The sequence below is a fragment of the Homo sapiens genome, chromosome 5, assembly GCF_000001405.40.
Source record: "Homo sapiens chromosome 5, GRCh38.p14 Primary Assembly".
Classification (NCBI taxonomy): domain Eukaryota; kingdom Metazoa; phylum Chordata; class Mammalia; order Primates; family Hominidae; genus Homo; species Homo sapiens.
Genome location: NC_000005.10, coordinates 37,505,245 through 37,533,037, shown reverse-complemented (window position 1 = coordinate 37,533,037; position 27,793 = coordinate 37,505,245). Strand labels below are relative to the sequence as shown.

The 27,793-nt window shown below is 38.7% G+C and overlaps 1 protein-coding gene and 1 pseudogene across 5 annotated transcripts in view, besides 2 other annotated features; one reads left to right on the top strand and one right to left on the bottom strand.

Moving 5' to 3' along the window:
* WDR70 (WD repeat domain 70) overlaps positions 1-27,793 on the bottom strand; it is a 374,118-nt gene that overhangs the window by 220,398 nt on the left and 125,927 nt on the right. For all 5 annotated transcript variants that reach the window (NM_018034.4, NM_001345998.2, NM_001345999.2 and 2 more), the window contains one exon: positions 16,448-16,524. In NM_018034.4, coding sequence (NP_060504.1) covers positions 16,448-16,524 — 77 coding nt within the window. The remainder of the gene's footprint in view (positions 1-16,447; positions 16,525-27,793) is intronic.
* Positions 17,385-17,585: a silencer, noted in NCBI's record as "peak5231 fragment used in MPRA reporter construct". NCBI's record gives its function as "represses an SCP1 promoter by STARR-seq MPRAs in K562 erythroleukemia cells {active_cell/tissue: K562}" and the evidence as "EXISTENCE:reporter gene assay evidence [ECO:0000049][PMID:32103011]".
* Positions 25,825-27,024: an enhancer, noted in NCBI's record as "CDK7 strongly-dependent group 2 enhancer chr5:37506116-37507315 (GRCh37/hg19 assembly coordinates)". NCBI's record gives its function as "activates an origin of replication core promoter dependent on BRD2, BRD4, P300/CBP, MED14 and CDK7 cofactors, with strong dependence on CDK7, by STARR-seq in HCT116 cells {active_cell/tissue: HCT116}" and the evidence as "EXISTENCE:reporter gene assay evidence [ECO:0000049][PMID:35650434]".
* KCTD9P5 (potassium channel tetramerization domain containing 9 pseudogene 5) lies at positions 25,994-27,611 on the top strand (annotated as a pseudogene).

Sequence of the window (27,793 nt, the reverse complement as noted above, 5' to 3'; positions counted from 1 at the left end):
TCAGAAGAACAAAAACAATCACTCCAGTTCGGCTCTCAGGGAGCCTCATTCCTAGGAGAAAGGGGAGAACAACACATCAAGGGAGCACCCCATGGGACAGAAGAATCTGAACAGCCACCTTGAATCCCAGATCTTCCCTCTGACATAATTTACCCAAATGAGAAGGAACCAGAAAAACAACTCTGGCAATATGACAAAGCAAGGGTCTTTAACACCCCCAAAAGATCATACTAGCTCACCAGCAATGGATCTAAATGAAAATGAAATATCTCAATTGCCAGAAAAAGAATTTAGAAGGTCGATTATTAAGCGAATCACGGAGTCAACAGAGAAAGGTGAATTTCAACTTAAAGAAATCAAAAACATGATACAGGATAGGAAAGGAAAATTCTTCAGTGAAATAGATAGCATAAGCAAAAAACAATCACAACTTCTGGAAGTCAAGGACACACTCAGAGAAATGCAAAATACACTGGAAAGTCTCAGCAATAGAACTGAACAAGCAGAAGAAAGAACTTCAGGGCTCGAAGACAAGGCTTTTGAATTAACCCAATCCATCAAGGACAAAGAAGAAAGAATTTTTAAAAATGAACAAAGCCCCAAGAACTCTGGGATTATGTTAAACAAACAAACCTAAAAATAATTGGTGTTCCTAAGGAAGAAGAGAAATCTAAAACTTTGGAAAACATATTTGAGGGAATAATTAAGGAGAACTTCCCTGGCCTTGCTAGAGATCTAGATATCCAAATACAAGAAGCTCAAAGAACACCTGGGAAACTCATCACAAAAAGATCATTGCCTAGGCACACAGTCATCAGGTTATCAAAAGTCAAGACAATAAAAAGAATCTTCAGAGCTGTGAGACAAAAGCACCAGGTAACCTATAAAGGAAAACCTGTTGGATTAACAGCAGATTTCTCAGCAGAAATCCCTCAAGCTAGGAGAGACTAGGGTCCTGTTTTTAGCCTCCTTAAACAAAACAATTTTCAGCTAAGAATTTTGTATCCAGTGAAACTAAGCTTCATAAATGAAGGAAAGGTACAGTCTTTTCTAGATAAAAAAATGCTGAGAGAATTCGCCACTACCAGGCCAACACTACAAGAACTGCTAAAAGGAGCTCTAAATTTTGAAACGAATCCTCAGAATACAACAAAATAGAGCCTCCTTAAAGCATAAATCTCACAGGACCTGTATAACAATAGCACAATGAAAAAAAAAAGGTATTCAGGCAACAAATAGCACAATGAATAGAATAGTACCTCACATCTCAATAATAACATTGAACGTAAATGGCCTAACTGCTCCACTTAAAGATACAGAATGGCAGAATGGATAAGAATTCAACAATCAAGTTTCTGCTGTCTTCTGAAAAGCCATTCCACGGAAATGGACGCCAAAAGCAAGCAAGAGTAGCTAGTCTTATATCAGACAAAAAAAAAAAAAAAAAAAAGAAAAACTTTAAAGCAACAGCAGCTTAAAAATACAAAGAATGATATCATATAATGATAAAAAGGACTAATCCAACAGAGAAATACCACAATTCTAAATAAATATATATGTATGTATGCATATATCTAACACTGGAGCTCCCGAATTTATAAAACAATTCTACTAGGCCTAAGAAATGAGATAGATGGCAACACAATAATAGAGGGGGACTTCAATACTCCACTGACACTAGTCATCAAGGCAGAAAGGCAACAAAGAAATAATGGACTTAAACTATACAACAAATGGATTTAGATATTTACAGAACATTCTACCCAACAACTGCAGAATATATTCTATTCATCAGTACATGGAACATTCTCCAAGACAGACCATATGATATGCCACAAAACAAGTCTCAGTAAATTCAAGAAAATCAAAATTATATCGAGTACTCTCTCATACCACAGTGGAATAAAATTGGAAATCAATTCCAAAAGGAACCTCAAAACCATGCAAATACATGAAAATTAATAATCTACTCCTGAATGATCTCTGGGTCAACAATGAAATCAAGATGGAAATTCAAAAATTCTTTGAACTGAATGACAGTGACACAACCTATCAAAACCTCTGGGATACAGCAACAGTGGTGCTAAGAGGAAAGTTCATAGCATTAAATGCCTACATCAGAAAGTCTGAAAGAGCACAAATAGACAATCTAAGGTCACGCCTCATGGAACTGGAGAAATAAGAACAATCCAAACCCAGCAGAAGAAAAGAAATAATGAAGATCAGAGCATAACTCAATGAAACTGAAATGAAAAAAAAAAAAACAAAAGATAAATGAAACAAAAAGCTAGTTTATTGAAAAGATAAATAAAATTGACAGACCATTAGCAAGATTAACCAAGGAAGACAGAAAATCCAAATAAGCACAATTAGAAAAAAAATGGGAGATATTACTACTGACACCACAAAAATACAAAAGATCATTCAAGGCTACTATGAACACCTTTATGCACATAAACTAGAAAAACTAGAGGCGATGGATAAATTCCTCCAAATATATAACCCTCCCAGATTAAAGCAGAAAGATAAAGAAATTCTGAACAGACCAATAATAAGCAGCGAGACTGAAGTGGTAATAAAAAAAATTGCCAACGAAAAAAAATCTAGGACAGAAGAATTCACAGCTAAATTCTATCAGACATTCAAAGAACTGGTAGCAATACTATTGACACTGTTCCACAGGATAGAGAAAGAGGGAATCTTCCCTAAATCACTCTATGAAGCAGGTATCACTCTAATACCCAAAATAGGGAAGGACATAACAAAAAAAGAAAACTGCAGACCAATATCCCTGAGATGTAAAAACCCTAAACAAAATACTAGTGAACCAAATTCAACAGCATATCAAAAATATAATCCGCCATGATCAAGTGGGTTTCATACCAGGGATGGTTTAACATCCGCAAGTCAATAAATGTGATACATCACATAAACAGAATTAAAAACAAAAATCACATGATCGTCTGAAGAGATGCAGAAAAAGCATTTGACAAAATCCAACATCGTTTTATGATTAAAACCCTCAGCAAAATTGACATAGAAGGGACATACCTTAACATAATAAAAGCCATCTATGACAATCCCACAGCCAACAGTATACTGAATGGGGAAAATTTGAAAGCATTCCTGCAAGAACTGAAACAAGACAAGGATGCCCACTTTCCCCACTTCTACTCAACATAGTACTGGAAGTCCTAACCAGTGCAATCAGACAAGAGAAAGAAATCAAGGCATCCAAATTGATAAAGAGGAAGTCAAATGACCACTGTTTGCTGATGATATCATCACATAATAGAAAACCCTAAAGACTCATCCAAAAAGCTCCTAGAACTGGTAAATAAATTCAGTAAGGTTTCAGGATACAAAATTAATGTACACAAATCAGTAGCTCTGCTATATACCAATAGCAACCACACTCAGAATCAAATCAAGAACTCAACCACTTTCACAATAGCTGCAAAAAAAAATAAATAAATACTTAGGAATTTACCTAACCAAGGACATGAAAGACCTCTACAAGGAAAATTACAAAACACTACTGAAAAAATCTTAGATGACACAAACAAATTGAAACACTCCCCATGCTCATGGATGAGTAGAATCAATATTGTGAAAATGACCATACTGCCAAAAGCAATCTATAAATTGAATGCAATTTCCATCAAAATACCAACATGATTCTGCACAGAACTAGAAAAAACAACCTCAAAATTCATAGGGAACCAAAAAAGAGCCCACATAGCCAAAGCAAGACTAAGCAAAAACAACAAATCTGGAGGCATCACATTATCTGACTTCAAACTATACTATAAGGCCATAGTCACCAAAACAGTGTGATATTGGTATAAAAATAGGCACAAAGACCGTGGAACAGAATACAGAACCCAGAAATAAAATCAAAAACTTACAGCCAACTGATCTTTGACAAAGCAAACAAAAACATAGAGTGGGGAAAAGACACTCTATTCAATAAATGGTGCTTGGATAATTGGCAAGCCACATATAGAAGAATGAAACTGGATCCTCATCTCTCATCTTATACAAAAATCAACTCAAAATGATCAAATATTTAAATCTAAGACCTGAAACCATAAAGATTCTACAAGATAACATCAAAAAAAAAAAAAAACCCCCTCTAGACATTGGCTTAGGCAAAGACTTCATGACCAAGAACCCAAAAGGAAATGCAACGAACACAAAGATAAATAAATGGGACTCAATTAAACTAAAAACCTTCTGCACAGCAAAAGAAATAATCAGCAGAGTTAACAGACAACCCACAGAGTGGGAGAAATCTTTATAATCTCTGCATCCGATAAAGGACTAATACCTAGAATCTACAAGGAAATCAAATAAGAAAAACAAAATTCCATCAAAAAGTAGGCTAAAAACATTAATAGTTTTTTTTTATTATACTTTAAGTTCTAGGGTACATGTGTACAACGTGCAGGTTTGTTACATATGTTTACATGTGCCATGTTGGTGTGCTCCACCCATTAACTCATCATTTACATTAGGTATATCTCCTAATGCTCTCCCTCACCCCTCCCCCTAACCCACAACAGGCCCCGGTGTGTGATGTTCCCCTTCCTGTGTCCAAGGGTTCTCATTGTTCAGTTGCCACCTATGAGTAAGAACATGGGGTGTTTAGTTTTTTGTCCTTGTGATAGTTTGCTGACAATAATGGTTTCCAGCTTCATCCATGTCCATACAACGGACATGAACTCATCATTTTTTATGGCTGCATAGTATTCCATGGTGTATATGTGCCACATTTTCTTAATCCAGTCTATCATTGATGGACATTTGGGTTGGTTCCAAGTCTTTGCTATTGTGAATAGTGCCGCAATAAACATACATGTGCATGTGTCTTTACAGCAGCATGATTTATAATCCTTTGGGTATATACCCAGTAATGGGATGGCTGGGTCAAATGCTGTTTCTAGTTATAGATCCTCGAGGAATCACCACACTGTTTTCCAAAATGGTTGACCTAGTTTACAGTCCCACCAACAGTGTAAAAGTGTTCCTATTTCTCCACATCCTCTCCAGCACCCATTGTTTCCTGAGTTTTTAATGATCGGCATTCTAACTGGTGAGAGATGGTATCTCATTGTGGTTTTGATTTGAATTTCTCTGATGGCCAGTGATGAAGAGCATTTCTTCATGTGTCTGTTGGCTGCATAAATGACTTCTTTTGAGAAGTGTCTGTTCATATCCTTTGCCCACTTTTTGATGGGGTTGTTTTTTTCTTGTAAGTTTCTTTGAGTTCTTTCTAGATTCTGGATATTAGCCCTTTGTCAGATGAGTAGATTGCAAAAATTTTCTCCCATTTTGTAGGTTGCCTGTTCACTCTGATGGTAGTTTCTTTTGCTGTGCAGAAGCTCTTTAGTTTATTTAGACCCCATTTGTTAATTTTGGCTTTCATTGCCATTGCTTTTGTTGTTTTAGACATAAGTCCTTGCCCATGCCTATGTCCTGAATTGTATTGCCTAGGTTTTCTTCTAGGGTTTATATAGTTTTAGGTCTAACATTTAAGTCTTTAATCCATCTTGAATTAATTTTTGTATAAGGTATAAGGAAGGGATCCAGTTTCAGCTTTCTACATATGGCTAGCCAGTTTTCACAGCATCATTTATTAAATAGGGAATCCTTTCCCCATTTCTTGTTTTTGTCAGGTTTGTCAAAGATCAGATGGTTGTAGATGTGTGGTATTCTTTCTGAGGGCTCTGATTTGTTCCATTGGTCTATATCTCTGTTTTGGTACGAGTACCATGCTGATTTGATTACTGTGGCCTTGTAGTATAGTTTGAAGTCAGGTAACGTGATGCCTCCAGCTTTGTACTTTTGGCTTAGGATTATCTTGGGAATGTGGGCTCTTTTTTGGTTCCATATAAACTTTAAAAGTAGTTTTTTTCCAATTCTGTGAAGAAAGTCATTGGTAGCTTGATGGGGATGGCATTGAATCTATAAATTACCTTGGGCAGTATGGCCATTTTCATGATATTGATTCTTCCTACCCATGAGCATGGAATGTTCTTCCATTTCTTTGTGTCCTCTTTCATTTCATTGAGCAGTGGTTTGTAGTTCTCCTTGAAGAGGTCCTTCACGTCCCTTGTAAGTTGCATTCCTAGGTATTTTATTCTCTTTGAAGCAATTGTGAATGGGAGTTCACTCATGATTTGGCTCTCTGTCTGTTATTGCTGTATAAGAATGCTTGTGATTTTTGCACGTTGATTTTTGGATCCTGAGACTTTGCTGAAGTTGCTTATCAGCTTAAGGAGATTTGGGGCTGAGACGATGGGGTTTTCTAAATACACAATCATGTCATCTGCAAACAGGGCCAATTTGACTTCCTCTTTTTCTAATTGAATACCCTGTATTTCTTTCTCCTGCCTCATTGCCCTGGCCAGAACTTCCAACACTATGTTGAATAGGAGTGGTGAGAGAGGGCATCCCTGTCTTGTGGCAGTTTTCAAAGGGAATGCTTTCAGTTTTTGCCCATTCAGTATGATATTGGCTGTGGCTTTGTCATAAATAGCTCTTATTATTTAGAGATATGTCCCATCAATACCTAATTTATTGAGAGTTTTTAGCATGAAGGGCTATTGAATTTTGTCAAAGGCCTTTTCTGCATCTATTGAGATAATCATGTGGTTTTTTCTTTGGTTCTGTTTATATGATGGATTACGTTTATTGATGTGCGTATGTTGAACCAGCCTTGCATCCCTGGGATGAAACCCACTTGATCATGGTGGATAAGCTTTTTGATGGGCTGCTGGATTCGGTTTGTCAGTATTTTATTGAGGATTTTTGCATTGATGTTCATCAGGGATATTGGTCTAAAATTCTCTTTTTTTGTTGTGTCTCTGCCAGGCTTTGCTATCAAGATGATGCTGGCCTCATAAAATGAGTTAGGGAGGATTCCCTCTTTTTCCATTGATTCGAACGGTTTCAGAAGGAATGGTACCAGCTCCTCCTTGTACCTCTAGTAGAATTCGGCTGTAAATCCATCTGGTCCTGGACTTCTTTTGGTTGGTAGGCTACTAATTATTTCCTCAATTTCAGAAACTGTTATTGCTCTATTCGTGGATTCAAATTCTTCCTGGTTTAGTCTTGGGAGGGTGTATGTGTCCAGGAATTTATCCATTTCTTCTAGATTTTCTAGTTTATTTGCCTAGAGGTGTTTATAGTATTCTCTGATGGTAGTTTGTATTTCTGTGAGATCGGTGGTGATATCCCCTTTATCATTTTTGTATTGCATCTATTTGATTCTTCTCTCTTTTCTTCTTTTATTAGTCTTGCTTGCAGTCTATCAATTTTATTGATCTTTTCAAAAAACCAGCTCCTGGATTCACTGATTTTTTGAAGGGTTTTTTGTGTCTCTATTTCCTTCAGTTCTGCTCTGATCTTAGTTATTTCTTGCCTTCTGCTAGCTTTTGAATGTGTTTGCTCTTGCTTCTCTAGCTCTTTTAATTGTAATGTTAGGGTGTCAATTTTACGATATTTCCTGCTTTCTCTTGTGGGCATGTAGTGCTATAAATTTCCCTCTATACACTGCTTTAAATGTGTCCCAGAGATTCTGGTATGTTGTGTCTTTGTTCTCACTGGTTTCAAAGAACATCTTTATTTCTGCCTTCATTTCGTTATGTACCCAGAAGTCATTCAGGAGCAGGTTGTTCAGTTTCCAGGTAGTTGAGCGGTTTTGAGTGAGTTTCTTAATCCTGAGTTCTAGTTTGATTGCACTGTGGTCTGAGAGACGGTTTTTTATAATTTCTGTTCTTTTACATTTGCTGAGGACTGCTTTACTTCCAACTATGTGGTCACTTTTGGAATAAGTGCAATGTGGTGCTGAGAAGAATGTATATTCTTTTGATTTGGGGTGGAGAGTTCTGTAGATGTCTATAAGGTCCACTTGGTGCAGAGCTGAGTTCTATTCCTGGATATCCTTTTTAACTTGCTGTCTCGTTGATCTATCTAATATTGACAGTGGGGTGTTAAAGTCTCCCATTATTATTGTGCAGGAGTCTAAGTCTCTTTGTAGGTCTCTAAGGACTTGCTTTGTGAATCTGGGTGCTCCTGTATTGGGTGCATATATATTTAGGATAGTTAGCTCTCCTTGTTGAATTGATCCCTTTACCATTATGTAATGGCCTTCTTTTCTCTTTTGATCTTTGTTGGTTTAATGTCTGTTTTATCAGAGACTAGGATTCCAACCCCTACCTTTTTGTTTTCCATTTACTTGGTAGATCTTCCTCCATCCTTTTATTTTGAGCCTATGTGTGTCTCTGCACGTGAGATGGGTTTCCTGAATACAGCACACTGATGGGCCTTGACTCTTTATCCAATTTGCCAGTCTGTGTCTTTTAATTGGAGCATTTAGCCCATTTACATTTAAGGTTAATATTGCTATGTGTGAATTTGATCCTGTCATTATGATGTTAGCTGGTTATTTTGCTCGTTAGTTGATGCAGTTTCTTCCTAGCCTCGATGGTCTTTACAATTTGGCATTTTTTTTGCAGTGGCTGGTAGCGGTTGTTTATTTCCATGTTTAGTGCTTCCTTCAGGAGCTCTTGTAGGGCAGGCCTGGTGGTGACAAAATCTCTCAGCATTTGCTTGTCTGTAAAGGATTTTATTTCTCCTTCACTTATGAAGCTTAGTTTGGCTGGATATGAAATTCTGGGTTGAAAATTCTTTTCTTTAAGAATGTTGAATATTGACCCCCACTCTCTTCTGGCTTGTAGAGCTTCTGCCGAGAAATCAGCTGTTATTCTGATGGGCTTCCCTTTGTGAGTAACCCGACCTTTCTCTCTGGCTGCCCTTAATATTTTTTCCTTCATTTCAACTTTGGTGAATCTGACAATTATGTGTCTTGGAGTTGCTCTTCTCGAGGAGTATCTTTGTGGTGTTCTCTGTAGTTCCTGAATTTGAATGTTGGCCTGCCTTGCTAGGTTGGGGAAGTTCTCCTGGATAATATCCTGCAGAGTGTTTTCCAACTTGGTTCCATTCTCCCCGTCACTTTCAGGTACACCAATCAGACGTAGATTTGGTCTTTTCACATAGTCCCATATTTCTTAGCGGCTTTGTTCATTTCTTTTTACTCTTTTTTCTCTAAACGTCTCTTCTCGCTTCATTTCATTCATTTGATCTTCAATCACTGATACCCTTTATTCCAGTTGATTGAATCAGCTATTGAAGCTTGTGCATGCGTCGCATAGTTCTCCTGCCATGGTTTTCAGCTCCATCAGGTCATTTAAGGACTTCTCTACACTGGTTATTCTAGTTAGCCATTCGTCTAATCTTTTTTCAAGGTTTTTAGCTTCTTTGCGGTGAGTTCGAACTTCCTCCTTTAACTCGGAGAAGTTTGATCGTCTGAAGCCTTCTTATCTCAACTCGTCTAAGTCATTCTCCATCCACCTTTGTTCCATTGCTGGTGAAGAGCTGCATTCCTTTGGAGGGGGAGAGGCGCTCTGATTTTTAGAATTTTCAGCTTTTCTGCTCTATTTTTTCCCCATCTTTGTGGTTTTATCTACCTTTGGTCTTTGATGATGGTGACATACAGATGGGGTTTTGGTGTGGATGTCCTTTCTGTTTGTTAGTTTTCCCTCTAACAGTCAGGACCCTCAGCTGCAGGTCTATTGGAGTTTACTGGAGGTCCACTCCAGGCCCTGTTTGCCTGGGTATCAGCAGCGGAGGCTGCAGAACAGCGAATATTGCTGAACAGCAAATGTTGCTGCCTGATCGTTCCTCTGGAAGCTTCGTCTCAGAGCGGTACCCAGCTGTGTGGGTTGTCAGTCTGCCCCTATTGGGGGGATGCATCCCAGTTAGGCTACTCAGGGGTCAGGGACCTCTTGAGGAGGCAGTCTGTTCATTCTCAGATCTCAAACTCCATGCTAGGAGAACCACTACTCTCTTCAAAGCTGTCAGACAGGGACATTTAAGCCTGCAGAGGTTTCTGCTGCCTTTTGTTCAGGTATGCCCTGCCCCCAGAGGTGGAGTCTACAGAGGCAGGCAGGCCTCCTTGAGCTGCGGTGGGCTCCACCCAGTTTAAGCTTCTCGGCTGCTTTGTTTACCTACTCAAGCCTCAGCATTGGTGGGTGCCCCTTCCCCAGCCTCGCTGCCACCTTGCAGTTCGATCTCAGACTGCTGTGCTAGCAATGAGCGAGGCTCCGTGGGCACAGGACCCTCTGAGCCAGGCACAGAATATAATCTCCTGGTGTGCCGTTTGCTAAGACCGTTGGAAAAGCACAGTATTAGGGTGGGAGTGACCTGATTTTCCAGGTGCCATCTGTCACAGCTTCCCTTGGATAGGAAAGGGAATTCCCTGACCCCTTGTGCTTCCCAGGTGAGGTGATGCCTCGCCCTGCTTTGGCTCACGTTCAGTGGGCTGCACCCACTGTCCTGCACCCACTGTCCAACAAGCCCCAGTGAGATGAACCTGGTACCTCAGTTGGAAATGCAGAAATCACCCATCTTCTGTGTCACTCACACTGGGAGCTGTAAACTGGAGCTGTTCCTATTGGGCCATCTTGGAACTGCCACCTTTTTTTTTTTTTTTTTTTTTTTTGAGACAGAGTCTCACTCCATCACCCAGGCTGGAATGCAGTGGCGCGATCTTAGCTCACTGTAACCTCCACCTCCTGGGTTCAAGTGATTCTTCTGCCTCAGCCTCACAGGTAGCTGGGACTATAGGCGCATGCCACCATGCCCAGCTAATTTTTTGTGTTTTTCATAGAGACAGGGTTTCACTGTGTTAACTAGGATGGTCTCATTTCCTGACCTCATGATCCGCCCGCCTCAGCCTCCCAAAATGCTGGGATTACAGCCATGAGCCACCATGCCCAGCCAAAATAGACAATTCTTAAAAGAAGATATATAAATGGCCAAAAAGCATATGGAAAAATGCTCACCATCACTAATGATCAGGGAAATGCAAATAAAAACCACAATGCGATACCACCTTCACTCCTGTAATAATGGCCATAATAAAAAAATCAAAAAATAATAGATGTTGGTGGGGATGCAGTGAAAATGCAACACTTACAATCTTCACACTGTTTGCGGGAATGTAAACTACCACAACCAAAGTATGAAGATTACTTAAAGAACTAAAAGTAGATGTACCATTTGATCCAGCAATCCCACTGGATCTACAGGTGTCTATCCAGAGGAAAAGAAGTCATTATGCAAAAAAGATACTTGAACACACATGTTTATAGGGTCACAATTTGCAATTGCAAAAACATGGAACCAGCCCAAATGCCCATCAATCAACAAGTTGATAAAGAACATGTGGGTGTGTGTGTGTGTGTGTGTGTGTGTGTGTGTGTGTGTATACTTGGACTACTACTCAGCCACAAAAAGGAACAAAATAATTGCATTCATAGCAGCCTGGATGGAATTGAAGACTATTATTCTAAGTGAAGTAACTCAGGAATGGAAAACCAAACATCGCATCTTCTCACTCACATGTGGGAGCTAAGCAATGAGAACACAAAGGCATAAGAATGATACATTGGACTTTGGGGACTTGGGGGAAACGGTGGCGAGTGGTGAGAGATAAAAGACTACCCATTGGGTACAGTGTAATCTGGTCAGATAATGGGTGCACCAAAATCTTAGAAATCATCACTGCAGAACTTATTCATGTAATCAAATACCACTTGTCCCCCAAAAACCTACTGAAATAAAAAAGTTGTTAAAAATTATTTTTAAAAACTTTTAAATGTTTGTGTATCACTGGTCTTGGAATATAACATTCAAAGCTTCTCAAATTTATTTGACCACAGAATGCCTTTTGTCAAACTTCTAATTTACACAGCCTGGAAATCTATTTGGGAAAGGCTGCTGTAGTGCTCATAAAAGTTAAAACATTATCAACTATGAGAGCCCACCATTCACACTGATCCAACAGTTTTGAGAACAAAGTTTTTTTCCCAACTGCTCTATTCAACTTAAGTTTTAACCAGAATAGCCCAGGTCCTCTGTGGTTAAGTTTTAACCAGAATAGCCCAGGTCCTCTGTGGTTAAGTTTTAACCAGAATAGCCCAAGTCCTCTGTGGTCCAATAGTGTATTTGTTTTCTTCTAACATTAGTATCAATTATTCATTTTCTTAAGACACTGCACAAAGTCTCTCCTGCATAAGTCTCAAAGTAGTTATGGGACTGTCTTGTTTCCTATTTAAACGCAAGTAGCTTCAGTACTCCAATATTTAATGCAATATTTACTTTAAATTTTAGTAACTAATTTTTATCAGATTTAAGTAATTTCTTCCTATCTGTATTTTACTTAGAACTTTTACTGGGAAAGACTAAATTCTATCAAATGTCCACTTTATCATATAATAAAATCACATGATTTTAACCTTTCATTCATTCAGCAATGAAGTATACTGAAATATCCTGGTGGTAAAATATCCTTACATCCTAGAATAAACCTTACCTAGTCATGCTATATTATTAATTTAGATTGCTGATAAAGTTCATTCCCTAATGCTGAAATAAGAAACATAACTTTAAACAAACATACCTTAACTATTTGGAAAAGTAATTATGCAGCTGCAAAGACTAAGATAGGAAAAGAAATTAACACTACATAATCTGATTTACCAGAAATTTTACTAAAATATATTTATTTTATTTTAGTCACATTCTTACTTGTATAGATTGACAAACTTCAGTTTCTTTTAGATCAAATTAATTTTTTAAATTCCTCTATGAAAGTGAAATTATGTCATTTGTCTTCTAAAGATATATTTCAGAAAACATAAAGTATCTAAGAATATGAACAGCAACTGTGAATGTTAACAAGGCAAATTTAAGTATCAGAAAGTTGAAAGATGAAAGACAAAATAACCTAAGAATAAAAAAGTTCTTATTTAACTAATGATTCACCTAAATAATACCACCTATTTTTTTAACTTTCAAGATTTTTTATTGTAATTTTCTATGTAATCATACGAAGTGCATTCCTGTGAACTACTTTTAATACTAAAATGAATCATATAATATAACAATAGAGGGAAAAGCTGCTCAAATATTCTATAATATTCTTGAGTCATGGATGAGCAGATACAAATGCAAAAGAATCTTAACCATTTAATCACTGGCAAGGATGTGGAGAAAAAGGGACCCTCATATGCTGTTGGTGAAAATGTAAATTAGTAAAACCATTATGAAGAACAGTTTGGAGGGTCCTCAAAAACCTAAAAATAGAGCTACCATATGATTTAGCGAACTCACTGCTGGGTATATATCCAAAACAAAGGAAATCAGTAAATCGAAAAGATATCTGTGCTCTCTCTGCCCAGCCGCCCCATCTGGGAGGTGAGGAGCGCCTCTGCCCGGCCGCCCATCGTCTGGGAAGTGAGGAGCGCCTCCGCCCGGCCGCCCCGTCTGGGAGGTGAGGAGCGCCTCCGCCCGGCCACGCCGTCTGGGAGGTGAGGAGCGCCTCTGCCCCGCCGCCCATCGTCTGGGAGGTGAGGAGCGCCTCCGCCCCGCCGCCCCGTCTGGGAGGTGAGGAGCGCCTCCGCCCGGCCGCCCAGTCTGGGATGTAGGAGCGCCTCCGCCCGGCAGCCCATCATCTGGGAAGTGGGGAGCGCCTCCGCCCGGCCGCCCCGTCTGGGAAGTGAGGAGCGCCTCCGCCCGGCTGCCCCATCTGGGAAGTGAGGAGCGTCTCTGCCCACCCGCCCATCGTCTGGGAAGTGAGGAGCGCCTCTGCCCAGCCGCCCATCTTCTGGGATGTGAGGAGTGCCTCTGCCCAGCCACCCCGTCTGGGAAGTGGGGAGCGCCTCTGCCCGGTGCCCCATCTGGGAGGTGTACCCAACAGCTCCGAAGAGACAGCGATCATCGAGAATGGGCCATGATGACGATGGCAGTTTTGTCGAAAAGAAAAGGGGGAAATGTGGGGAAAAGAAAGAGAGATCAGATTGTTACTGTGTCTATGTAGAAAGAAGTAGACATAGGAGACTCCATTTTGTTCTGTACTAAGAAAAATTCTTCTGCCTTGGGATGCTGTTAATCTATAACCTTACCCCCAACCCCGTGCTCTCTGAAACATGTGCTGTGTCAACTCAGGGTTAAATGGATTAAGGGTGGTGCAAGATATGCTTTGTTAAACAGATGCTTGAAGGCAGCATGCTCGTTAAGAGTCATCACCACTCCCTAATCTCAAGTACCCAGGGACACAAACACCGTGGGAAGGCTGCAGGGACCTCTGCCTAGGAAAACCAGAGAACTTTGTTCACGTGTTTATCTGCTGACCTTCTCTCCACTATTATCCTATGACCCTGCCACATCCCCCTCTCCGAGAAACACCCAAGAATGATCAATAAATACTAAAAAAAAAAAAAAAAAAAGATATCTGTGCTCCCACGTTGGTTGCAGCACTGTTTGCAATAGCCAAAATTCAGAAGCAAACTAAGCATCCATCAACAGATAAATGGATAAAGAAAATGTGGTACATATATACAATGGAGTACTATTCAGCCATGAAAAAAGAATGAGATCCAGTAACTTATAACAACATTAATGGAGCTGGAGATCATTACATTAAATGAAATAAGCCAGACACGCAGACAACCATTGCATGTTCTCACTTATTTGTGAGATCCAAAAATCAAAACAATGGAACTCATGAACACAGAGAGAAGAACGATGGTTACCAGACGCTGAAGAGGGTAGCGGAGTATGGGAATGAGTTAAGGATGGTTAATGGGTTAAAAAAAAAAATAGAAAGAATGAATAAGGCCTAATATTTGATAGCATAACAGAGTGACTATAGTCAATAATAATATAACTGTACATTTTAAAATAACTAAAAGAGGCTGGGCGCAGTGGCTCATGTCTATAATCCCAGCACTTTGGGAGGCCAAAGTGGGTGGATCACCTGAGTTCAGGAGTTCGTGACCAGCCTATGCAACATGATAAAACCCCATCTCTACTAAAAATATAAAAATTAGCTGGGCATGGTGGCAAGCACCTGTAATCCCAGCTCTTTGGGAAGCCAAGGCAGGAGAATCACTTGAACCTGGGAGTTGGAAGGTGCAGTGAGCCGAGATCGTGACACTGCACTCCAGCCAGGGTGACAAGAGTGGAACTCCATCTCAAAAAAATAAATAATATAATAAATAAAATAAATAATATAATAAATAAATAATATATAATATAATAATATAATAAAAAATAATATAATAAAAATAAAATAACTAAAAGAGTTTAACTGGATTGTTTGTAACACGAAGGGAGGAGATGGATACCCATTTTACATGATGTGATTATTATGCATTGCATGGCTATCAAAATATCTCACATACCCCATAAATATATATACCTACTGTATACTCACAAAAATTAAAATAAAAAAATTTTAGGGTCTGGTGCCATAGCTCATGCCTATAATCCCAGCACTTTGGGAGGCCGAGGCAGGTGGATCACCTGAGGTCAGGAGTTCGAGACCAGCCTGGCCAACATGGTGAAACCCCATCTCTACTAAAAATACAAAATTAGCCTGGTGTGGTGATGCATGCCTGTAATTCCAGCTACTTGGGAGGCTGAAGTAGGAGAATCATTTGAACCTAGGAGGTGGAGGCTGCAGTGAGCTGAGATCGTGCCATTGCACTCCAGCCTAGGCAACAAGAGCGAAACTCCATCTCAAAAAAAAAAAAAAATTTAATAACCAAGGAAATTTAATTAATTTGCTTCAAAGTGATGCTGGTATGTATGAACTGACATACACACCAAATTTAATCAATTTCCTCAGTTATTCCTTTCAAAATCAATCTTAGCCAATAAGCTTATGTTAGCTATTAGACTCAGATGGAAATAAGCCTTTATTATACAAAGTAATAATTAGTCACAACTTCAAAGTCCTTTGAGTCCACTTAATAGCATCAATCTGATCCAACCTTAATAAACTCTACAGGAATTTATACCACTCTCGTTTTCATAGTGTCTATTTTTGTTTAATCAAATACTACACTATCAGATAAAATCAAAGTAAAGAACAAGAATATATAGGCCGGGCACAGTGGTTCACACCTGTAGTCTCAGCACTTTGGGAGGCTGAGGCAGGCAGATCATTTGAGGTCAGGAGTTTGAGACCAACCTGACCAACATGATGAAACCCCGTCTCTACTAAAATACAAAAATTAGCCGGGTGTGGTGGTGGGGCATCTGTAATCTCAGCTACCTGGGAGGCTGAGGCAGGAGAATCACTTGAACCCAGGAGCTGGAGGTTGCAGTGAGCCAAGATCGTACCACTGCACTCCAGCCTGGGCAACAGAGCAAGACTCCCCCTTAAAAAAAAAAAAAATATATATATATATGTATATAATAAGAATTCCTAATATTCCACTTACTACATTACTGCCAAGATTGTAACAATCCAAACGTTAAATAAAATACCTAAAGATATGAATGTATTAGATGAATTATCAACAATACTCACGCATCATTTGAGCAAGTCATAAATTCTCCCTTTATTTTGGGATGCCATGAGCCAGTATGAAGCATTGCTGTATGACCCTTAAAAATAAAGACAAAGGGGAAAAAAAGATGTTTTAAAAAGGTAAAAAATAAACTGACTAGAAACTGACATGTCATTTTTAAATGTAAAAATGTTTAGTTCCCCCAAAAGGGCACCATTTTAATTATAAACCTATATTATTTTATCCCAATTTTCTCTCATAACATGTTTCATTTATTTCGCTTTAACTCTTTGTGTACCACCCTGTGCCCACCTCAGGAATTAACTCAGTGCTTGTATGTAACAGGTGCTTAGTAAGGTGGGAAATGGAGAGGAAAATGACATCCTTTCTTTAGAAGAAAAAAAGAAAGGTAAAGCCAAAATAAGAAAGACAGGTCCTTCTTCAAAGATCATAACTCCTTTCTTCAATGGAAGAGAATCAAGAATAGAAAGCATTTACAAATAAGCAAGGTGAAGGCAAGAGATTGGAAGGGAAATCCATATTTCCTAAAAATGTGTCAACAACCTTGATTCTACAATGCCTCTGTAAAAATAAGTATGTGAGAAAAGGAAGAATATATTTTAAATGATTGAGGAAAATTAGCTCCATTAAGTATAGAGAATATAAAAACACTATAATTAAAACAATGTGATGCTGATATACGTAAACTGACATATACACCAAATCAACTAGAGTACATAGCAAACATAAACACACACATATATACAAATGCATAATTCCCTCTTAGGCAGTAAAGTCAGCTAGAGTGGTCTCATACAGCAAGTCAGATTTACGTGGGATAGAAAAGAGCCTGGTCTTTTTTAGTATAATAACTGCAGTATCTCTTACTCTGACACAGTTCAAAATAAAACTATGATTAAAGAAGTAAAATGTACATATTTAAGTGACTTACAAGAAAAATAACAGTAACTCTCTGAAAAGATACATAGGCCTGGAGATCATCTTCAGCCAAAGTTGTCTACAATGCCTCAAATAGTATCTGGCCAAGGCCTGACATTCTGTTCATGTTTACGGAATACAAATGAGGGGAGGTGGAGACTCTTAGCCATGTGGGAGGCATGAATTGAACCAATACCTGGAAGGACTAGACGGCAAGTCTGAGATCTCATTTTCCACCCCTGAACTCAAGGCTTGCACATCCAACTATCTACTTGACATTTCTATCTGCATATCATAGGCATCTCGAACACAACAGGTACAGGGAAAATCTTGATTCTTTCTGCCCACTTTATTTTCAATCAGTTTCTTTCCTAGTAGCTCAAGCTAAAAACGTGAGAGTTGTTCTTAAATATTCCCATAACCATGGTCCTAAAACCTTCTATCTACACAGATTCAATCCACCAGCTATTCTTGACAATTCTATCCAAAATACATTCTATTTCTATTCACTTTCTAAAATCTATTCACTTTTCTCTTTTTCATCACTATCACTTATTCTCTCACAACATTCTCTCATGCTTCTATATCAGTTAATATGTACTGTAACAGGTTTGTTATTAGTCTCTCTGCTTTTTCTTTTTTTTTTTTTTTTCTTGAGACAGGGGTCTCACTCAGTCACCTAGGCTGGGGTACAGTGGCATGTTCACAGCTTACTGTAGCCTTGGCCTCCCAGGCTCAAGTGATCCTCCTGCCTCAGCCTCCCAAGTGACTGGGATTACAGGCATGAGCCACCATGCCTGGCTAATTTTTGTATTTTTCGTAGAGACGGGGTCTCACCATGTTGCCCAGGCTGGTTTTGAACTCCTGGGATCAAGTGATCCGCTTGCCTCGCCTCCCAAAGTGCTGGGATTACAGGAGTGAGCCACTGCGCCCACCTCTGCTTTCATTTTACCTCATGTGCTCTACATAGCAATCAGTATAATCCCTTAAAAATATAGTTCTAACGTAGGAACAGAAAACCAAACACTGCATGTTCTCACTTATAAGTGGGAGCTGAACGATAAGAACACATGGACACACTGTCGGGGGAACAGCACGAACTGGGGCCCCTCGGGGGTGCAGGGTGGAAGGAAGGAGAACATCAGGAAGAATAGCTAATGGATGCTGGGGTTAATACCTAGGTGACGGGTTGATCTGTGCAGCAAATCACCATGACACACATTTACCTATATAACAAACCTGTATATCCTGCACATGCACCCTAGAACTTAAAAGTTAATGGAAAAAAAAATACATAAACATACATACATACATATATATATATATATATATGTAGTTCTAAATATGCCATAATGTCGGCACAGTGGCTCACAACTATAATCCCAGCACTTCTGGGAGGCTGAGGCAGAACAATCACTTAAGGTCCGCAGTTTGAGATCAGCCTGGGCAACAGAGTGAGATCCTGTCTCTACAAAAACTAAAAATAAAAACTTAGCTGAGTATGGGATAGACATCTATAGTTCCAGCTACTTAGAAGACTAAAGTGGGAGGATCCCTTGAACCCAGGAGTTGGAGGTTACAGTGAGCTACAACTGTACCAGTATACTCCAGCCTAGGTGACAGGGTCAGACACCATCTCAAAATAAATAAACTGATCAATTTAATTAAATTAAAATGCCACTTAACCTTTTACTGGCTTTATAACCTCTTATACAGTGTGATGGTTAATAATGAGTGTCAACTTGATTGGATTGAAGGATACAAAGTATTGATCCTGGGTGTGTCTGTGGGGGTGTTGCCAAAGGAGATTAACATTTGAGTCAGTGGGCTGGGAAAGGCAGACCCACCCTTACTCTGGGTGGGCACAATCTGATCAGCTGCCAGCTCGGCTAGAATATAAGCAGGCAGAAAAATGTGAAATGAGAGACTGGCCTAGCCTCCCAGCCTACGTCTTTCTCCCATGCTGGATGTTTCCTGCCCTCAAACATCGGACTCCAAGTTCTTCAGTTTTGGTGCAGACTACCTTCCTTGCTCCTCAGCTTGCATACAGCCTATTGTGGGACCTTGTGATCATGTGAGTTAATACTTGATCAACTCCCCTGTATGTATATTCCATTAGTTCTGTCCCTCTAGGGAACCCTAATATACACAGTCCACAACGAATTTTATTTTCTGGCTCCATGTTCCTTCCATCTTCACTTATTTTGTGTTCCCTCATGCCCAGCACATACCAGCCACTTCCTTCCTTTCAGTTCCTCCAATATGTTCAGCTCTGCTCCATATCAGGGCCTTCTTATATGCTTTCCCTACGCTGGAAAGCTCTTTTTTCCACTTTCTCATGACTGGCTCCTTCTCATTATTTCACTCTCAGTTTACATGCCACTTGCTCAAATAAGTATTCCCTGGTCCTCTATGTAAGAAAACATGGCCCACCACATTGTTCTTTACCTTAGTACCTGTGCATTTCCTTAATAATAGCCATCATAGTTTGTGATTCTTTATTCATTTTTTGACTTTTGGAACAGTGTTAACATTTTACATATTCACACAAAAAAATAAGGATGGGACAACCAAAAATTGAATATAAACAGGAACAAATCAACCTTACATTTCAAATTAGTAACACATATACTGAAAGAATAAACAGAAGGGAATACCCCAGATAACTATCTACCCTGTAAGTGGGTTGATGGCCCCCAAAAAGATATGTCCATATTCTAATCCCAAGAACATGTAAACATGACCTTATTTTGGGAAAGGTTATTTGCAGATATAATTAAGAATCTCGGCTGGGTGCGGTGCCACATGCCAGTAATCCCAGCTCTTTGGGAGGCCAAGACAGGCGGATTGCTTGAGCTCAGGAGTTTGAGACCAGCCTGGGCAACATGGCAAAACCCCATCTCTACAAAAAAAAGAAAAAAAATTATCCAGGCATGGTGGCACACAACGGTAGTCACAGCTACTCGGAAGGCTGAGATGGAAGGTTCTCTTGGGCCCAAGAGGTCGAGGCTGCAGTGAGCCATTATTACACCACTGCACTTCAGCATGGGCAAGAGAGCAAGACCCTGTCTCAAAAAAAAAAAAAAAATTCTAGATGCAATTCTGTGCAGGCTCTAAATCCAATAGCAAATGTCCTTATAAGAGATAGAAGAGGGCTGGGCGTGGTGGCTCACACCTGTAATCTCAACACTTTGGGAGGCCAAGGCAGGCAGATCACTTGAGCTCAGTTAGAGACCAGCCTAGGCAAGATGGCTAAACCCCATCTCTACAAAAAATACAAAAATTAGCCACGTGTGGTGGCAGGTGCCTGTAGTCCCAGTTATTTGGGAGGCTGAGGTGGAGGATGGCTTGAGCCCAGGAGATGGAGACTGCAGTGAACTGAGATCACACCACTACACTCCAGCCTGGGCAACATTATGAGACCCTGTTTCAAGAAAAAAAAAATTTTTTTTAAAGAAGAAAAGAGAAGAGAAAAAGACAAAAAGAGAAGGCTATGTAAAGACAGAGGCAGAGAATGGAGTTATATAGCCACAAGCCAAGGAATACCCCGAGTCACCAGAAGCTGAAAAAGGCAAGAAAGGGCATTCTTGCCTAGAGCCAACATTCTTGCCAACACCTTGATTTCAGCCTTCTGGCCTCTGTAATAGTAAAAGAATAAATTTCTGTTGTTTTCAGCCACCAAGTTTGTAGTAATTAGTTAAAACAGCCCAGGAACCTAGTACATATTCTCAGTCTAAGACCAAAAGAACTGTAAATAAATATTGAATTCTAATTAATACATTTGTTTCTTTTTTGCAGTGGTATGCATTAGCAATTCTGAAACTGCCTTCAATATAATGAAGAACTAAGCCAAGGAGGAAATGTGCTGGGGACAACTGGAGTAAGGTTTAGCCCTGTTGGAGAAGATAGTTACAAAAGTGAAAAGGCGGAAGACTAGAATGAACTCTCTGATGTTAAATAGAAATTAAGGGTATCAATGTGAACTCATGATTTTTAATAGGTAGATAAAATTGTTGTATATGTATATATGTGTTAGTTATTCTCTAATTCTGTATGTTAAGAATGTCTAGAAGTAATATATTCCAGCAAAACTAACACAGAGATCCTGGTCTCTAACAATCACCTCTCCTTAAAAGGAACCAGGGCTTCTTGCAAAAATTATTGATTACAGAGATGGGGTAGGAAACGAGCAAGATGAACGTGGAACATTTTGTTGTATTAAAAAAAAAAAGAAAGTACTACAAAGATGATGGAGACATGTTAAAAGGATAAAGCACACGTTGAAGAGCCTTCTGCTGGCTAAATCTGGAATAGTTAGGGCATCACAATAAATAATGATAGTAACGAATTATAAACCATTCACTAAAACAAGGACCATTGAGTGTATACTAATATAATAAATATACAAACAAACAAAGCTCTTCCTTTTAGTAGAATGCTACTGATAAACATAAAATAAATGATGGAGTTAAAAGATCATCATTTTGCAATCATCACAGTAATAACTGATTCAGGAAAGAATCATCAATAGATGCTAAAATTGTGGAGAAAAGTTTGAAAATGAATATTTACAAAGCCTCAAAATCTCCCTGCAAATTACTTAGTAATTGCAATGAGAAGACAGTAACTTTATAGTGGAAAAACCTGGTAGACACCACCTTAAACAAGTGATCTAGGTTAACATCACCAATGCAAGGACAAACTGAAGCTGACATCACATACTTCCTGGTATGATGAAGAAAGGAGGACACCATATCATTTCTGTCATAGTCCTTCTAAAAATGCATAACCTAATTCAAACTATGAGGTAAAATCAAATTCTATATTTTATCAAATCACTGACCTGCAGTCCTCAAAAAATGTCAAGGAAAAATAAAGACGAAATAATGCAGAGAAGCCATTCCCAATTAAAGGAGACAACAGATATGATGACTATATACAATGTGTGATCTTGATCAGAGCCTGGAACTGGTGAAAAAATCATTATACAGATTGTTGAGATAATCAGTGAAACATGAATGTGAAATGTGATTTAGATAATAATACGTTATCAATGTTAAATTCATGGCTATCCACCAGGCATGGTAACTTGTGCCTGGTAGTCCCAGCTACTAGGGAGACTGAGGCAGAAGGATTGCTTGAGCCCAGGGATTCTAATCCAGCCTGGGCATCAAAGCAAGACCCTGTCTCTTAAAAAAGAAAATTATGATTATGTATGAAAATGCATTGTTATTAGGAACACCTCACTGAAGAATTTAGGAGTAAAAGAGCATGACGTTTACAACTTACTTTCAAAAGCTGAAAACTAAACACACATATATGTAATTTATATGCATATGCATATATATATGAGTGTGTATATACAGGTGGGATAGGAAGGTGGGTTAGTTTGTGTTAGTTGAGGGAGGAATGGAGGAGGGAAAAGGAAGGAAGGGGTAAGGTGAAAATAAAGCAATGAGACAAAATGTTAGCAATTGGTAAATCTGAAAAAGAAGTATAAAGAAGCTTTACACCCCTTTTAATTTACAGCTATTCTTTAAGTTTAAAATTATACCAAAATAAATAATTTTATTAAGTTTTTTTTTGGGGGGGGGAGTGTTTGTTTACAGATGAGGGTCTCACTCTGTTGCTGAGGCTCAAGTGCAATGGTGCGACCACCACAGCTCACTGCAGCCTCAACCTCCTGAATTCAAGAGATCCTCCCACCTCACCCTCCCAAGTAGTTGGGACTACAAGGCAAGCACCGCTACACCCAGCTGATTTTTTATTTATTATAGAGATGTGGTTTCTGCTATACTGCACAGGCTAGAAACTAAATACTTTTTAAAAAATATTCTGGTTGCCCAGTGAAGGAAAGTCTGTTAAAAAAAAAAAAAAAAAAAGAATCTATAGGGCTGCTCAGTGAAGAAAAGCCTGTTGAAAAACGAGAAAAAAAAAGAATTTATAGGTCCAACTGGGAAGATGTTAATGTGAGTCATGCGAAGATCGACAGTGGCTTTGACTAGAGAGCAGCACTAAGTGTTGACAAGTGAGTACACATTCCTTACAAGTGCACACAGAAAATTCACTAAAATCATATTCTAAGTAACAAAACACACTTCATCAGATATTTTAAAAATTAAAATTATTCAAAGTATGTTTCCAAGGGCTGGGTGTGATGGCTCATGCCTACAGTCCCAGTACTTTGGGAGGCTGAGGTGGGAGGATCACTTGAGGCCAGAATTTTTTTTTTTTTAAAGTATGTTTCTAGATCATAAGAGAATTAAATTAGAAGCCAGTAAGAAAAAAGTCTCAAATACTTGTATATTTAAACACCACACTAATAACCCATGGGTCAAAAAGGTAATCCCAAGTGAACTGAATAAAAATGAAAATATAACATCTGAAAGTTGTGGGACACAGTTAAAGAAATGCTTAGAGCATTTCTATTAGAAAATAAGAAAAGTCTCAAATTAATAATTAAAGCATCCATCTTAAAATATTAGAAAAAGAAGGCAAGTAGGAGAAAATAAATCAATAAAGTTGATAAACTTTTAGCCAGAACAAGAAAAGGAGAGAAAGAGAGAGAAGACACAAATTACCACCAATTCAGGGAAAATTAGGAGATATATCAGTACTGATCCCAAAGAAATATTACTATTATAATAATCTTATGCACATAAATTTGGTAACTTAAAGGAAGGAAGAACTCGAATAGTCCTATATCCACTAAATATACTGAATTCATAGTTAAAAGCTTTCAAAAACAGAAAAGAAAACCCCAGCCCAGTTGGCTATACTGGCAAACTCTACCAAACATTTGAGGAAGACGTAACATTACTTTTTCACAACAGTTTCCCCAAAACAGAATTGGATAGTACACTTCCAAATTCATTTTATGAAGCTACCATCACCCTGATACCAAAATCAAGTACCATATGACATAAGAAAGCTACAAAACAACATCCCTCATCAACATAAAAGCTAAGATCTTTGAAAAAATATTAAACTAGTATCTAAAAGGAATAGTACATTGCAACCAAGAAGGCTTTGTTCCAAGAATACAAGTCTGGTTTAACAATCAAAAATCAATGTAATTAACCACATTAACATAATAAGATAAAAAATTCAGAAAAGGCATTTGACAAAACTCAATAGCCATTCATGATAAAAAACTCTCAGCCAATCAGTGACAGAAAACAACTTACTCAACTTGATAAAAGCATATTGTCTCAGTCAGCTAGGGCTGCTATAACAAAAGACCATAGACTGGGTGGCTTAACCACCATACATTTATTTCTCATAATTCTGGAAGTTGGTGAGGGATCCCTTCCTGGCTTGCAGATGGGCCATCTTCTCCTGTATCTTCATATGGTCAGGAGACAGAAAGCTCTGGTATCTATTCCTTTTTTTCAGAAGGGCACTAATCGCATCATAGAGAATCCACCCTCATGACCTCACCTAAACCTAATTACCTCCCAAAGGCCCCCACCTCCTAATACTATAACATTGGAGGTGATGGCTTCAATATATATATTTGGGGGGGACACAAACATTCAGTCCATAATAGGTACGTACAAAAAACCTACAGTTAACTACCTATTTAATGGTAAAAGACCAAATATTTTCTCTAAATGTCAGGTTTTAAGCAAAGATACCTGACCCCACCACATTCACATTCAATGTCAATCTGGAAGCCCTAGTTAAGTACAATAAGGCAAGAAAAAAAATAAAAGGCATTCGGATTGTAAAAGGAGAAATAAAACATTCATTCCAAGACACAATGACCATTTATGTAGAAAATCCCAAGGACTCTATAAAAAAACAACATTCAAAAAAATCAATAAAATTTCTATGCACTACCAATGACAGTTAGAAACCAAAAAATATTTTAAAGTCCTATTTGTAATAACTCAAAAAAACAAAATGCTTAGGTACAAATCTAATATAATCAGGATCCCTATGTTGATATACTATAAAATGTACACGAAAGAAACAGAAGGCCTAAATAAGTGGGGAGATATACTGTGCTGATGAATCAGAAACCTCAATATACTGAAAACATCAATTCTCCAAATTGATCTTCAGACTCAGTATAATTCCAAAGAAAATCCCAACAGGGTGATCTTGTGGAAGTAGAGACTTAGAATGATAGTTACCAGTGTCTAAGAAGTGCAGGGGAGGGGGGAAGATAAAGAGAAATCAGTTGATAGGTTCAAACATACAATTAGAAGGAATAAGTTCTCATGTTTGACAGCACAGTAGGGTGACTACAATTAATAACAATGTCTCACATATTCTAAAATAGCTAGAAGGGAGAACTAGAAATCTTCCCAGCACATAGAAACAATAAATGTTCAAGGTGATGGATACCTCAAATACCTGAACTTGATTACATATTCTCTGTATACAACAAAATATCACATGTACCCCATAAATATGTACAAAAAGAATGTATCCACAAAATAATTCTAACAAGATTATTTGTAGATATAGACAGGGTGCTTCTAAAATTTACATGAAAAAGTAAAGAAATTAGAATAGTCAAAGCCATTTTTAAAAAGAAAAAAAAAAGTTGGAAAGCATCCTACCAAATTTAAGTTTAAGTTTGTTAATATGTAAGAAATATTTAAAAGCTGTAGTAGTAGGAAGACTGGCCGAGCCCTGGGTGTGGGACAGAGTGCCTGTGTGTGTGTGTCCCCAAGGGCAGGAAGGTGGCAAAGGGAGGTGAATCCAAGTGGGTGGAGGGAAGGGAAAGGTGGGAAGAGAAAAAGGTGGGAGGAGGACCAAGTGGGAGGGTGGTGGCTCACTCAGGACCCACCGGGGGCAGCGCAATGAGGCGGGTGACCCTGTTCCTGAACAGCAGCCCCCAAGAACGGAAAGGTGGTTGCTGTATATGGAACTTTATCTGATTTGCTTTCTGTGGCCAGCAGTAAACTCAGCATAAAAGCCACCAGTGTGTATAATGAGAAAGGTGGACTGACTGATGATATTGCTTTGATCAGGGATGATGATGTTTTATTTGTGTGTGAGGGAGAGCCATTTATTGATCTTCAGACAGATTCTAAGCCTCCTGAAGGATTGTTAGGATTCCACACAGAGTGGCTAACATTAAATGTTGGAGGGAGGTACTTTACAACTACACGGAGCACTTTAGCGAATAAAGAACCTGACAGTATGCTGGCCCACATGCTTAAGAACAGAGGTGTCTGGGGAAATAAGCAAGATCATAGAGGAGCCTTCTTAATTGACCAAAGTCCTGAGTACTTTGAACCCACTTTGAACTACTTGTGTCATGGACAGCTCATTGTAAATGATGGCATTAATTTATTGGGTGTGTTAGAAGAAGCAAGATTTTTTGGTATTGACTCACTGATTGAACACCTAGAAGTGGCAATAAAGAATTCTCAATCACCAGAGGATCATTCACCAATATCTCGAAAGGAATTTGTCCGATTTTTGATAGCAACTCCAACCAAGTCAGAACTGTGATACCAGAGTTTGAACTTCAGTGGTGCTGATGTTTCTCGTTAGGACCTTCGATACATTAACTTCAAAATGGCCAATTTAAGCCGCTGCAATCTTGCACATGCAAATCTTTACTGTGCAAATCTTGAATGAGGTGATCTCTCTGGATCAGTGCTTGACTGTGCAAATCTCCAGGGAGTCAAGATGCTCTGTTCTAATGCAGAAGGAGCATCCCTGAAACTGTGTAATTTTGAGGATCTTTCTGGTCTTAAAGCCAATTTAGAAGGTGCTAATCTGAAAGGTGTGGATATGGAAGGAAGTCAGATGACAGGAATTAACTTGAGAGTGGCTACCTTAAAAAATGCAAAGTTGAAGAATTGTAACCTCAGAGGAGCAACTCTGGCAGGAACCAATTTAGAGAACTGTGATCTGTCTGGGTGTGATCTTCAAGAAGCCAACTTGAGAGGGTCCAACGTGTAGGGAGCTATATTTGAAGAGATGCTGACACCACTATACATGTCGCAAAATGTCAGATGAGAATTTTAGGGGCTAGAGGAAGATGTACAAGATGAAAACATTTTCCTTATCACTTTTCTTTCTCCACCCACTCAGTTGTCTAGAAGAAGTAACACTGTAAGGAAATTTTTAAAAAACATTGAGAGAATTATGCTTGCTCTCAGCGGTGCATAAGGGAAAAAATTGACTTTTTTTCCATATTCTGATTTTTAACAGAAAAGCACTCATTAATAGGTATACGGAAACTAGATATTGCTGCTTTTTGAATGGGGTAGGGGGGTTCCACTCAATACCAGAGGCAAGTTCCACTCAATACCAGACCAAGCAATTCTATCTATTTACACTATTAGCCTAGTTTTCCCATACGATCGGCACAAGCATAGGAAGATACTTCAAAACCAAAAAACCAAGGTACATCATTAATATTCATTTAATTCAAATACCAAATAATTTACATAAGGCCA